General features: G+C 41.8%; 1 protein-coding gene across 10 annotated transcripts in view, besides 1 other annotated feature; it reads left to right on the top strand.

Moving 5' to 3' along the window:
- The window catches only part of ARID4B (AT-rich interaction domain 4B), a 161,278-nt gene extending 152,532 nt beyond the window's left edge, over window positions 1–8,746 (top strand). For all 10 annotated transcript variants that reach the window (NR_135074.2, XM_024447626.2, XM_047422531.1 and 7 more), the window contains 3 exons: window positions 249–464; window positions 2,884–3,030; window positions 6,996–8,746. Coding sequence is in view for 9 of the 10 variants with exons in the window: in XM_024447626.2 (XP_024303394.1) it covers window positions 249–464; window positions 2,884–3,030; window positions 6,996–7,123 (491 nt within the window). In the remaining variant the exon portion in view is untranslated. The remainder of the gene's footprint in view (window positions 1–248; window positions 465–2,883; window positions 3,031–6,995) is intronic.
- Window positions 3,873–4,079: a silencer, noted in NCBI's record as "fragment chr1:235334884-235335090 (GRCh37/hg19 assembly coordinates)". NCBI's record gives its function as "represses an EF-1alpha promoter that drives an FKBP-Casp9 reporter gene in an ReSE screen in K562 erythroleukemia cells {active_cell/tissue: K562}" and the evidence as "EXISTENCE:reporter gene assay evidence [ECO:0000049][PMID:32094911]".

The following is a 13,093-nucleotide window of genomic DNA, read 5'->3' as shown; positions in this document are numbered from 1 at the left end:
CAAGCATAATGATAGATTAGTGTGAGTGATTTTAAAAGTATACATATTATTGGCAGTTCAGGTAAGAAGAATTTTTTGTTTTTGCTTTTCCTAAGATGCTGCTGCATTTGTATATGATTTTCCAGGTTTCTAGGCAGGTTGTTTTCTGTAGGACTAAATTCAAATGGCTAATTTTAAATTACCTACTAAAATCTGTGACAAATTTATTGTTACATTTTTGTTTATTAAATCTTTTCTTTCTCTTTCAGCAAATAGTAGTGATAGTGAAGAACTTTCAGCTGGTGAAAGTATAACTAAGAGTCAGCCAGTCAAATCAGTTTCCACTGGAATGAAGTCTCATAGTACCAAATCTCCCGCAAGGACGCAGTCTCCAGGAAAATGTGGAAAGAATGGTGATAAGGATCCTGATCTCAAGGAACCCAGTAATCGATTACCCAAAGTTTACAAATGGAGTTTTCAGATGTGTAAGTGACATGTTAAATTGACAAGCATACAAACTTCATCCTAGTAACTCTTTTTGTTTTATTTTGTTTTTGTTTTTAGAGACAGAGTCTCGCTCTGTCACCAGGCTGGAGTGCGGTGGTGCGATCTTGGCTCACTGTAATCTTCAGCCTCCTGGGTTCAAGCCATCCTCCTGCCTCAGCCTCCCAAGTAGCTGGGATTACAGGCACGCGCCACCACACCCAGCTAATTTTTTTGTGTGTTTAGTAGAGACAGGGTTTCACCATGTTGGCCAGGATGGTCTCCATCTCCTGACCTCATGATCCGCCCGCCTCGGCCTCCCAAAGTGCTGGGATTACAGGCATGAGCCACTGCGCCTGGCCTTTTTTTTTGAGACAGAGTCTCTCTGTCGCCCAGGCTAGAGTGCAGTGCAGTGGCATAGTCTCTGCTCACTGCAACCTCCATCTCCCTGGTTCAAATGATTCTCCTGCCTCAACCTCCCGAGTAGTTGGGATTACAGACGCCCACCACCACACCTGGCTAATTTTTTTGTTGTTGTTGTATTTTTAGTAGACATGGGGTTTCACCATGTTGGCCAGGCTGGCCTTGAACTCCTGACCTCAGGTGATCCATCCGCCTCTGCCTCGCAAAGTGCTGGGATTTTGGGCATGAGCCACCATGCCCAGCCCCAATCCTAGTAACTCTTCATGCCAATACTCTGAAAAAGAGGCTTTACCAAACTTAATAGATGTACTAATGTACAATGTATAGACCTTATTTGGATCCCGGTTTGAATAAATAAATTGGTTAAAGAAAAATTTTAAGGCAGTTGAGGCAAATGCCAACACTGACTAGATATTTCTGATATGGCTGGGCGCAGTGGCTCATGCCTGTAATCCCAGCACTTTGGGAGGCTGAGGTGGGTGGATCACGAGGTCAGGAGTTCGAGACCAGCCTGACCAGCATGGTGAAACCCTGTCTCTACTAATAAAACAAAAAATTAGCTGCGCGTGGTGGCACGCGCTTGTAGTCCCAGCTACTCAGGAGGCTGAGGCAGGAGAATTGCTTGCACCTGGCAGGTGGAGGTTGCAGTGAGCCGAGGTTGCGCCACTGCACTCCAGCCTGGGCGACAGAGTGAGACCCCATCCCAGAAAAAAAAAAAAAGATACTTCTGATATGATGTCGGTAATTTGATTTAAAAGTATCTGGTGTTAGGGGTGAGGAATGGATAGGGGTGCAGATGATACAGGTTTTGCCATAAATTGATGATTACTGAAGCTGGATAATGAGTACATGGGGTTCACTATCCTTCTCTCTATACTTTTGTATATGTGAGAAATCTTCATAAATCTTCATTTAAAAAAAGGTATATATATATATGTTTTAGGTATACATATATATATATATATATATATATATATATATATATATATATTTTTTTTTTTTTTTTTTTTTTTTTTTTTTAAATAGAGACGAGGTCTCATTATGTTGCCCAGGCTAATCTTGAACTCCTGAGCTCAAGACTGAGCTGATCCTTCCACCTCTACTTCCCAAAGTGCTAGGATTACAGGTGTGAGCCACCACACCCAGCCAATATGTATATTTTTTTAATACTACTCTAGAGTTTTTCACACAAGGAAATACCTTAAGTATTCTTAGGAGATTGAAGATTGCTTTAGAGCTTTTTAAAATTGCCTTCTAATTTAAATTTTTACACACTCTTTAAAAAAACCTAAAAAATAACAGAGAACAGAAGAGAAAAATTTATCCACAGTCTTGTTACTCACAAAATGTGTACAATTTAGCATTTTGGTGTCTTTCCAGGTTTTTTGTTTTGTTTTGTTTTTGTGTTTTTGTTATTTTTAGACAGAGTCTCACTCTGTTGCCCAGGCTAGCGTGCAGTGGCACAATCTCGGCTCACTCCAACCTCCACCTTCCAGATTCAAGCGATTATCCTGCCCCAGCCTCCCGAGTAGCTGGGATTGCAGGCACCCGCCACCATGCCCAGCTAATTTTTGTAGTTTTAGTAGAGACAGGGTTTCACCATCTTGGCCAGGCTGGTATCGAACTCCTGACCTCGTGATCCGCCCACCTCGGCCTCCCAAAGTGCTAGGATTACAGGTGTGAGCCACCGTGCCCAGCCCCAGTTTTATTTTTAAGTGTGATTTTTTACTGTGGTAATACTGTATATGGATGTGGATATATGTAGATCTTAAGGTGTTTAATGCTGTACATATTCATTCAACAAATACTGTGCATTTATTATGTGCCAGGCATTGTTCTAGGCTAGATAAAAAATTTGGAAAACAAATATTTCAGAAGCCTTAGTTTTTTAGTTCATCTGCCTCAACCTTATTCAGCAGCCATGCTCGATGTTCTCTCCTTTTTGTATGTTAAAATTTTCTTTAAAAATGTCTGTTAATGAAAGCTTTAAATTTATAGCGGACCTGGAAAATATGACAAGTGCCGAACGCATCACAATTCTTCAAGAAAAACTTCAAGAAATCAGAAAACATTATCTGTCATTAAAATCTGAAGTAGCTTCCATTGATCGGAGGAGAAAGCGTTTAAAGAAGAAAGAGAGAGAAAGTAAGTATTTTTACTTTATTTTTATTTATTTATTTATTTTGAGACAGAGTTTCACTCTTGTCGCCAGGCTGGAGTGCAATGGCGCAATCTCGGCTCACTGCAACCTCCACCTCCTGGGTTCAAACAGTTCTCCTACCTCAGCTTCCTAAGTAGCTGGAATTACAGGCATGCACCACCAAGCCCGGCTAATTTTGTATTTTTTAGGTAGAGACAGGGTTTCGCCATGTCAATCAGGCTGGTCTCTAACTCCTGACCTCAGGTGATCTACCTGTCTTGGCCTCCCAAAGTGCTAAGATTACAGGCGTGAGCCAAGAGTGCCCTGCCAGTATTTTTACTTTATTTAAACATAAACCAGAATTTCTCACTCTGCAGTTAGACTGCCATGACTTTGTCTATTTTCAGGCAAATTCTTTAATTTCTTTATCTTATTTTCCTCATCTCTAAAGTGAAATTATCTCAAATAAAAAAATTATTTCAGATCATAATATTCACTTTCATAGAGTTTATACTCTACCAAAAACATCCTAATAAGATAATTTCAGATATTGAAAGCACTATGAAGAAAATGATGTTAAGGTAGTGATTGGATGGGTTACTTTAGATTACAAATGGTCAGTATATTTTTGTTGATACCTGAATGACATGAGGAAGTGAGATAAATTAAAATCTGGGAGGAGGCCGGGCACAGTGGCTCATGCCTGTAATCCCAGCACTTTGGGAGGCTGCGGTGGGTGGATTGCCTGAGGTCAGGAGGTCGAGACCAGCTTGGCCAACATAGTGAAACCCCGTCTCTACTAAAAAATACAAAAAATTAGCTGTGCGCGGTGGCGGGTGCCTGTAATCCCAGCTACTTGGGAGGCCGACGCAGGAGAATTGCTTAAACCCAGGAGGCAGATGTTGCAGTGAACGGAGATCATGCCATTGCACTCCAGCCTGGGCAACAAGAGCTAAACTCTGTCTCAAAAAAAAAAAGACATCTATCCAGAAACTCCTTCTAAACAATGTTTTGTAAATATAGTCACCACAAATTCTTTATAATGAATGATTTTGCTAAATAGAGCCTCTCTACTGGGTTAGCATTAAAAGTCGGTTCCTAAATACTATTTTAAGAAAAATCCATAGGAAAATGCTTATCCTGGTTACCAAAGAAATGCAAATCAAATAAGGTATCATTCTTTTTTTTTGGAGATGGAGTTTTGCTCTGTCGCCCAGGCTGGAGTGCAGTGGCGCGATCTCAGCTCACTACAACCTCCGCCTCCTGAGTTCAAGCGATTATCCTGCCTCAGTCTCCCGAGTGGCTGGGATTACAAGCGTGCTGCCACGCCCAGCTAATTTTTTATTTTTAGTAGAGATGGGGTTTCACCATGTTGGCCAGGATGCAGGATGGCTCGATCTCTTGACTTCGTGATCCGCCTGCTTCAGTCTCCCAAAGTGCTGGGATTACAGGCATGAGCCACTGCGACTGGCCCAAATAAGGTATCATTCTTACCAAAAAAATTAAAACTAAAACCAATGCAGGAACAGTGTAGTGAAATATATAAGTTATGAGTTGTAATATAGTAGAATATTACTCAACTTTGAAAAGAAAAGGATCTGTATGTACTGATATGGAACAATCTCTTAAAATATATTGTTTAAAAAAAAGTCAGACACTGAACTATGCTTCCACTTGTGTGTGTGTGGTTTTTTTTTTTTTTTTTTTTTTTTGAGACGGAGTCTCGGTCAGTCACCAGGCTGGAGTGCAGTGGCGCGATCTTGGCTCACTGCAACCTCTGCCTTCCGGTTCAAGCGATTCTCCTGCCTCAGCCTCCCGGGTAGCTAGGACTACAGGTGCGTGCCGCCATGCCCAGCTAATTTTTGTAATATTATTATTAATTTTTGAGACAGAGTATCTCTCTGTCATCCAGGCTGGAGTGTAGTGGTGCAATCTTGGCTCACTGCAAGCTCCGCCTCCCGGGTTCACGCCATTCTCCTGCCTCAGCCTCTCTAGTAGCTGGGACTACAGGCGCCCACCACCACATCTGGCTAATTTTTTGTATTTTTAGTAGAGACTGAGTTTCATTGTGTTAGCCAGGATGGTCTCGATCTCCTGACCTTGTGATCCGCCCACCTAGTCCTCCCAAAGTGCTGGGATTACAGGTGTGAGCCACCGTGCCCGGCCTCCACTTATGTTTTTAAAGGTGTTGCTATATCTATATATTTTAAATTTGCATATCATATCTCTAGATTCTAGAGATAAAATTCCTGTAGAACAGGGGTTGCAAACATTTTCTGTAAAGAGACAATAAATATGTTAGGCTTTGTGGGCCATGTGGTCTCTGTAGAAACTACTTATCTCTGCCATGGTAAGTGTGAAAACTCCCATAGGCAATATGTAAACAAATAGGCATGGCTGTGTTCCAGTACAATTTTTCTTTCCAAAGACAAGTAAGCCAGATTTGCCCCTGGGGTAGTTTTTTTGCCAGCCTTTTTTCTAGAGTTGTAATGAATATGAATCAACTGGTAGCAATGGGGAAGGGAATTTGGGTGATTAGGAGGTTCCTGGATGAGAGTGAGATTTGCTTTTCTATCCTATTACCCCTGTACTGAATGAATTTTTTAAATCTGTGCATGTATTTAAAAATATTAATTTATGAACACTAATTTATAACAGAGAGGCCGGGCGCAATTGCTCACGCCTGTAATTCCAGCACTTAGGGAAGCCAAGGCAGGCAGATCACCTGAGGTCAGGAGTTCGAGACCAGACTGGCCAACATGACGAAACCCCATCTCTACTAAAAATAGAAACATTAGCCGGACATGGTGGCGCATGCCTGTAATCCCAGATACTCAGGAGGCTGAGACAGGAAAATTGCTTGAACCCAGGAGGCAAAGGTTGCAGTGAGCTGAGATTGCACTGCTGCAGTCCAGCCTGGGCAACAGAGCAAGACCCCCATCTCAAAGGAAAAAAAAAAAAAAGGAGGCTGAGGCAGGAGAATGGCGTGAACCTGGAAGGCGGAGCTTGCAGTGAGCCGAGATCGCACCACTGCACTCCAGCCTGGGCGACAGAGTGAGACTCCGTCTCAAAAAAACAAACAGGCTGGGCGCGGTGGCTCACACCTGTAATCCCGGCATTTTGGGAGGCTGAGATGGGCGGATCATGAGGTCAGGAGATCGAGACCATCCTGGCTAACATGGTGAAACCCCATCTCTACTAAAAATACAAAAAAATTAGCCGGGCGTGGTGGCGGGCGCTTATAGTCCCAGCTACTGGGGGGGCTGAGGCAGGAGAATGGCGTGAACTCAGGAGGCAGAACTTTTAGTGAGCCAAGATCGAGCCACTGCACTCCAGCCTGGGCGACAGACAGAGCGAGACTTTGTCTCAAAAAACAAACAAACAAAAAAAAACGAAAAAAGGAAACAGTGAGAGACTTCCTCTGATGAAAATAACTAATGTGTTATTTGCTTTGTAAACCTAGTGGCGGAGAATGCAACAGTTGAGCTATGCACTGTTTTGATCCAACTTGAAGAAGCAATTAAGCCTCCCACTCTTGTCACCATTTACATGTACAAGAAAACTCCTAAGTACAGAAAGATGGAGGGATTAGGAGGGGACAAATGATTTTTGGATGGATTGCAGATTTTTCCTGTTTTGATACTTGTTTCACTGTTACAAAAAGTGTATTCTGTATTTTATTTCTGTGTCTTGTAGACTAGGCACAGTTCTTTCCCTCTTTGACCCACGCAGGAGCCTTCCCTGGTCTGTCCTTTTCATTACTTCTGTAGTTGGGCACTGTCTAGCTTCTTGAGCTACACTAGCTTTTCCTTTCTTCACATCGTAGAACTGTGAGAATTGACCACTGTTGTTGTAAGCTAAATGATTTTGGACAATATAGCGGAATTTTAGTTCAGAGGACTAGTATTTTCTGTCTATTGTTAGACATAAATTTTTATTAAGCTCTTGGTTTGGTCTCCCTTTTCCTTAGGTGCTGCTACATCCTCATCCTCCTCTTCACCTTCATCCAGTTCCATAACAGCTGCTGTTATGTTAACTTTAGCTGAACCGTCAATGTCCAGCGCATCACAAAATGGAATGTCAGTTGAGTGCAGGTGACAGCAGGACTTGCTAAAGCACTTTGCACTTAATGGCTGTTGAGGGCCACTTTTTTTTTATACTGCACAGTGGCACAAAAAAATATCAGACAAGCACTATTTTATATTTAAAAATTGTTTCTTGACAAGCTGACTTGGCACTTAAGTGCACTTTTTTATGAAGAAAAAGTACAATGAACTGCTTTTCCTCAAGCAATAATTGTTTCCAACTTGTCTGGGAATTGTGTGTCTGGTAACTGGAAGGCCTTCCACTGTGGCAAATGGAGGCTTTTCACTGCCTGTAGAGACAATACAGTAAGCATAGTTAAGGGGTGGGTCAGAACATGTTAAGATAACTTACTGTATATGTATTCCCTTGTATTTTGTTAAAGCTGGAACATTTGATATTTTTCCATTTATTTATGAAAAAATATGAACCTATTTTCATTTGTACAAGGTAATTGTTTTTTAAAGCAAGTCACCTTAGGGTGGCTTTAATTGTATAAGTCAAGCACATGTAATAAATTCAAAACCTGCAGTTAACAGGATATTAGACATCAATCCTGGTAACCAAATATTAAAGATTCTCTTTAAAAAAGACTGAACATGTTTACAGGTTTGAATTAGGCTAAAAGGTCTTGCAGTGGCTTTTCATGGCCCTTCAAATTGGAATGGAACTACTGTACTTTGCCATTTTTCTATAAATCAGTATTTTTTTTTAATTTTGATATACATTGTGTGAAAAAAGAAAATGGCTAATAAACTGTATTAAATCTTAAACAATGTATAAAGATTGTACTTAGCCAGTTCAAAGTGTATATTTATTCATAATGAATTATAACAGTTATATTTTTGTGTTTTCTTGTAAATGTTTCTTTTCCCTTAAATACAGATAATTCATTTGTATTGCTTATTTTATTATGAGCTACAACAAAAGGACTTCAGGAACAAGTAATGTATTAGTATGGTTCAAGATTGTTGATAGGAACTGTCTCAAAAGGATGGTGGTTATTTTAAATATAAATAGCTAATGGGGGTGGTAGGCCTATAAAATTAAATGCCTTGTATAAAATCCAAAATGAATGCAAAATTGTTTTCACTTGTATTGACTTTATGTTGTATGATTCCAATCTCTGTTCTGTTTGGCACTTGTATTTAATTCTTCACCTTTGTAAGACATTTGTATATTGTGGATGTGTTCATTCAAGCTATTTAATATCTGGCACTGTTAATACACAGTACTTTATTGTACAGACTGTTTTACTGTTTTAATTGTAGTTCTGTGTACTTTTTTTGGATGGGGCTGGCATGTTTTCTTTGTTTCCTGGCAATACGACGTGGGAATTTCAATGCGTTTTGTTGTAGATGCTAACGTGTCAGAATCCTTTACATTCAACTTTTCTAAGAAAAGCATTTTCAGTCTTGTAGTGTGTGCTTACAGTAACTAATTTTGTTGAAAATGGTTTCAAGTTATTCAAATTTGTACAGGACTGTAAAGATTTGTTGACAGCAAAATGTTGAAGAAAAAAGCTTATAGAATAAAAGCTATAAAGTATATATTAGGATCTGCAAACAATGAAGAATTATGTAATATATTGTACAAATGTAAGCAAAGGCTCTGAAATAAAATGCCATAGTTTGTGAATCCTTGATTTTTGTTTCTAAAAGATTTAGTAATTTTAGTTCATTTCTGTATGTGATGACTGACTGGAACATACATATCCAGCACGTATTATCACAGGGGATTAATTGATACACAAAAAAAGGAAGATTCTACCTATGAAAATTAAAAGTCCATTAATCAGATAAGGAATGTATTAGGCATTCTTTTTTTTTTTTTTTTTTTTGGACACGGAGTCTTGCTCTGTCACCCAGGCTAGAGTGCAGTGGCGCAATCTCCAGCTCACTGCAACCTCTATCTCCCGGGTTCAAGCAATTCTCCAGCTTCAGCCTTCCGAGTAGCTGGGATTATAGACATCTGCCAGCACTCCTGGCTAATTTTTGTATTTTTAGCAGAGACGGGGTTTCACCGTACTGGTCAGGCTGGTCTCAAACTCCTGACCTCATGTGATCCACCCACCTTGGCCTCCCAATGTGCTGGGATTACAGGCGGGAGCCAACACACCCAGCCTAGGCATTCTTTTATCTTTGCACACACTATTTTGCTTGAGTCTGAATTTAAATATTTTTCTTATCACTTGAAGAATTGTCCAAATTTGAAAATTAAGTGTTTTTTTTAAAATTTATTTAACACTTGAAACCATTACCAGCGGCTTTTTAAAATTTTTAATTTAGTTAGACCTTTCCGGGTCTTTTATACTTCAGTGTGTTCTATTGCACATTGCAATCATCTGGACATTGTTAAAAGTATATTCAGTACTCACACCCCACTCCCAAGGAGTTATATTTAATTGGTTGGGGGTAGTACCTGGATGTTGATCTTTAATTTTTAAAGGTCTCTAGTGATATTAATATGCATCTGGGTTGAGAAACACTGCTTTGCCGCAAACTTCTAAAAATCTATAATCTAGTTTTTTGGCCCCACTTATTGGACTTTCTACCAACAGAAAACCTTTCTTGGCTGGGCGCAGTGGCTCAACGCCTGTAATCCTAGCACTTTGGGAGGCCGAGGCAGGCGGATCACGAGGTCAAGAGATCGAGACCATCCTGGCCAACATGGGGAAACCGTATCTCTACTAAATATACAAAAAAAAAATTAGCCAAGCGTGGTAGTGGGCGCCTGTAGTCCCAGCTACTCGAGAGGTTGAGGCAGGAGAATGGCATGAACCTGGGGGGCGGAGCTTGCAGTAAGCCGAGATCGTGCCACTGCACTCCAGCCTGGGCAACAGAGCGAGACTCCGCCTCAAAAAAAAGAAAACCTTTCTTTAATACAGAGAGAGGCCGGGCGTGGTGGCTTAATGCCTGTAATCCCAGCACTTTGGGAGGTTGAGGTGGGTGGATCACCTGAGGTCAGGAGTTCGAAACCAGCCTGACCAACATGGTGAAACCCTGTCTCTACTAAAAATGCAAAATTAGCCGGTCATGGTGGCGCATGCCTGTAATCCCAGCTACTAGGGAGGCTGAGGCAGGAGAATCGCTTGAACCTGGGAGGCGGAGGTTGCAGTGAGCCAAGATTGCACTCCAGCCTGGGAAACAAGATTGAAACTCCGTCTCAAAAAAAAACAAAAACAAAAACAAAAACGAGAAAGGAAATCAACTTTTTTAAGGCCTAGAAAGCTTAAATACATATTTTTTAAAGCATCTTTGTGGTGGCCCTTTATTTTCACAAAAATTAGTTTAAGGGATGATATTTTAAATCTGTGGAACGGTGCTTCCCAAAATGAATTCCTAGAATACTGGTCCCTGGAAATGCTCTGGGAATTTATAACCAAATATATTTTGGAAAATCTATGTATAGCACATTCTTAGAGAATCACAGTGTTTGCATATTAAAAACTTTGAGAAGGCCTGTGAAGAGATACCTGCCTAATAACTTCCTTTACCCTACTGTTTTCAATCCCACCTAATCATGAAACCCTGTTTTTTGAGGAGCTCTTAATATCACATACTGAGTATGTTATAGAAACAGTGCTGAATAGGGGAATTATTCCAAATTTTGGTGGAGTCGAGATTTATGACTTTGTGCCTCTCTGTCTCGCCTGCCTTCTTGTTCTACGTCCTACCTTCTTAAGAGGGTTTGAGGATTTTATTGAATTAGTAGAATTGACCTATGTCTACTTCTGGTCACCTAAACTAGACTTTACTAAGTTAGTTTACAATTGACATATTAAGATGGTATGTTTTTCTTTTCTTTTTTTTCTTTTTTTGAGACGGAGTCTCACTCTGTTGCCCCAGGCTGGAGTGCAGTGGTGCAATCTTGGCTCACTGCAACTTCTGCCTCCCAGGTTCAAGTGATCCTCCTACTTCAGCCTCCCGAGTAGCTGGGACTACAGGCACGTGCCACTGCACCCAGCTAATTTTTTGTATTTTTAGTAGAGAGGGGTGTTTCACCGTGTTAGTCAGGATGGTCTCGATCTCCTGACCTCGTAATCTGCCCGCCTTGACCTCACAAAGTGTTGGGATTACAGGCATGAGCCACCGCGCCCACCCAAGATGATACGTTTCTTAACGGTGTTCTCCAAAACGTTTTTTTTCCTACTGAAAAAACTTTAGAGTGGGGTCTTGTTAATTTCTTTTTTTTGTTTGTTTTGTTTTGTTTTAGACAGAATCTCGCTCTGTCGCCCAGGCTGGAGTATAATGGCGCCATCTTGGCTCACTGCAACCTCTGCCTCCCGGGTTCAAGTGGTTCTCCTGCATCAGCCTCCCGACTAGCTGGGATTACAGGCGCCCGCCACCATGCCTAGCTAATTTTTGTATTTTTAGTAGAGATGGGGTTTCACCATGTTGGCCAGGCTGATCTCAAACTTCTGACCTCAGATGATCCACCCACCTCGGCCTCCCAAAGCGCTGGGATTACAGGCGTAAGCCACCGCACCCGGCCTCCTTTTGTTTTTTTGAGACGGAGTTTCGCTCTTGTTGCCCAGGCTGGAGTGCAAATGGCGCAGTCGCTGATCTGAAACTCCTGGGCTTGCATTCCTTCCGTCTTGGTCTCCCAAAGTGCTGGGATTATAGGCGTGAGCCACCTTGTCCCACCATGTCCTCATATTTTAAAAAACTCTCAAAGCAGTAAGTGATCTCTAAATGGTTAAAAACAGCACTGAACAGCAATGAAGATAATTTTAAAACTATCTGCAACCACAGCTGCTTTCGCAGTCTGTTTTCTTCTATAAGTATCTGCTACCTAGCTGGGCACAGTGGGTCATACCTGTAATCCCAGCACGTTGGGAGGTCAAGGCGAGCGGATCACCTGAGGTCAGGAGTTCGAGACCAGCCCGACCAACATGGAGAAACCCTGTCTCTATTAAAAATATAAAATTAGCCAGGCATGGTGGTGCATGCCTGTAATCCCAACTACTCGGGAGGCTGAGGCAGGAGAATCGCTTGAACCTGGGAGGCGGAGGTTGCAATGAGCCAAGATCGTGCCACTGCACTCCAGCCTGGGCAACAAGAGTGAAACTCCGTCTCAAAAAATACACAGAATAGAATTCTATAATTCTAGAAATATAGAATATAATTTCTTCACTGGACTGGATAGAACAGATTTTTGAGTTGTATCGCATGCATGTATGGATAAGCTTTCTTCATCTTTGTGAAATACCAGAAGATCAAGATTATGGGAAACCAAAATAAGGGGCCCAGTAATCAAAACCCAGGGCCGAGCAGTTGAATATTGTGGATTTTTTTCATAAATTTCTCTGAAGGGGGAAGTAAAAGTCACATATATTCCCAGTCAACTTGGTTGAGTAGCTTTCAAAAAGCTTAGGCTGTCCCCAAAAGACTCAAAGTCAAATCCTGGCTGGATGCAGTGGCTCACGCCTGTAATTCCAACCCTTTGGGAGGCCAAGGCAGGAGGACTGCTCAAGCTCAGGAGTTCAAGACCGGCCTGGGAAACACAGTGAAACCCCAATCTCTATTTAAAAAAAAAAAAAAAAAAAAAGGCCAGGCGCGGTGGCTCACACCTGTACTCCCAGCACTTTGGGAGGCTGAGGTGGGCGGATCACAAGGTCAGGGGTTCGAGACCAGCCTGGCTAACATGGTGAAACCCGGTCTCTACTAAAAAAATACAAAAATTAGCTGGGCATGGTGGCATGCACCTGTAATCCCAGCTACTTGGGAGGCTGAGGCAGGAGACTCACTTGAACCCGGGAGGCGGAGGTTGCAGTGAGCTGAGATCGCGCCACTGCAGTCCAGCCTGGGCGACAGAGCGAGACTCTGTCTCCAAAAAAAAAAAAAAAATTAGCTGGGCATGGTGCTGCTGCTTGCAGTTCCAGCTACTCCGTGGTGGGAGGATGGCTTGAGCCCAGGAAGTCAAGGCTGCAGTGCGCCGTGATCTCACCACTACACTCCAGTCTGGGTGACAGAGCAACACCTT

Source organism: Homo sapiens, chromosome 1, assembly GCF_000001405.40.
Source record: "Homo sapiens chromosome 1, GRCh38.p14 Primary Assembly".
Taxonomy (NCBI): Eukaryota; Metazoa; Chordata; class Mammalia; order Primates; family Hominidae; genus Homo; species Homo sapiens.
Note: the sequence above shows the minus strand (reverse complement) of the source record. Positions and strands in the feature narration are given on the sequence as shown.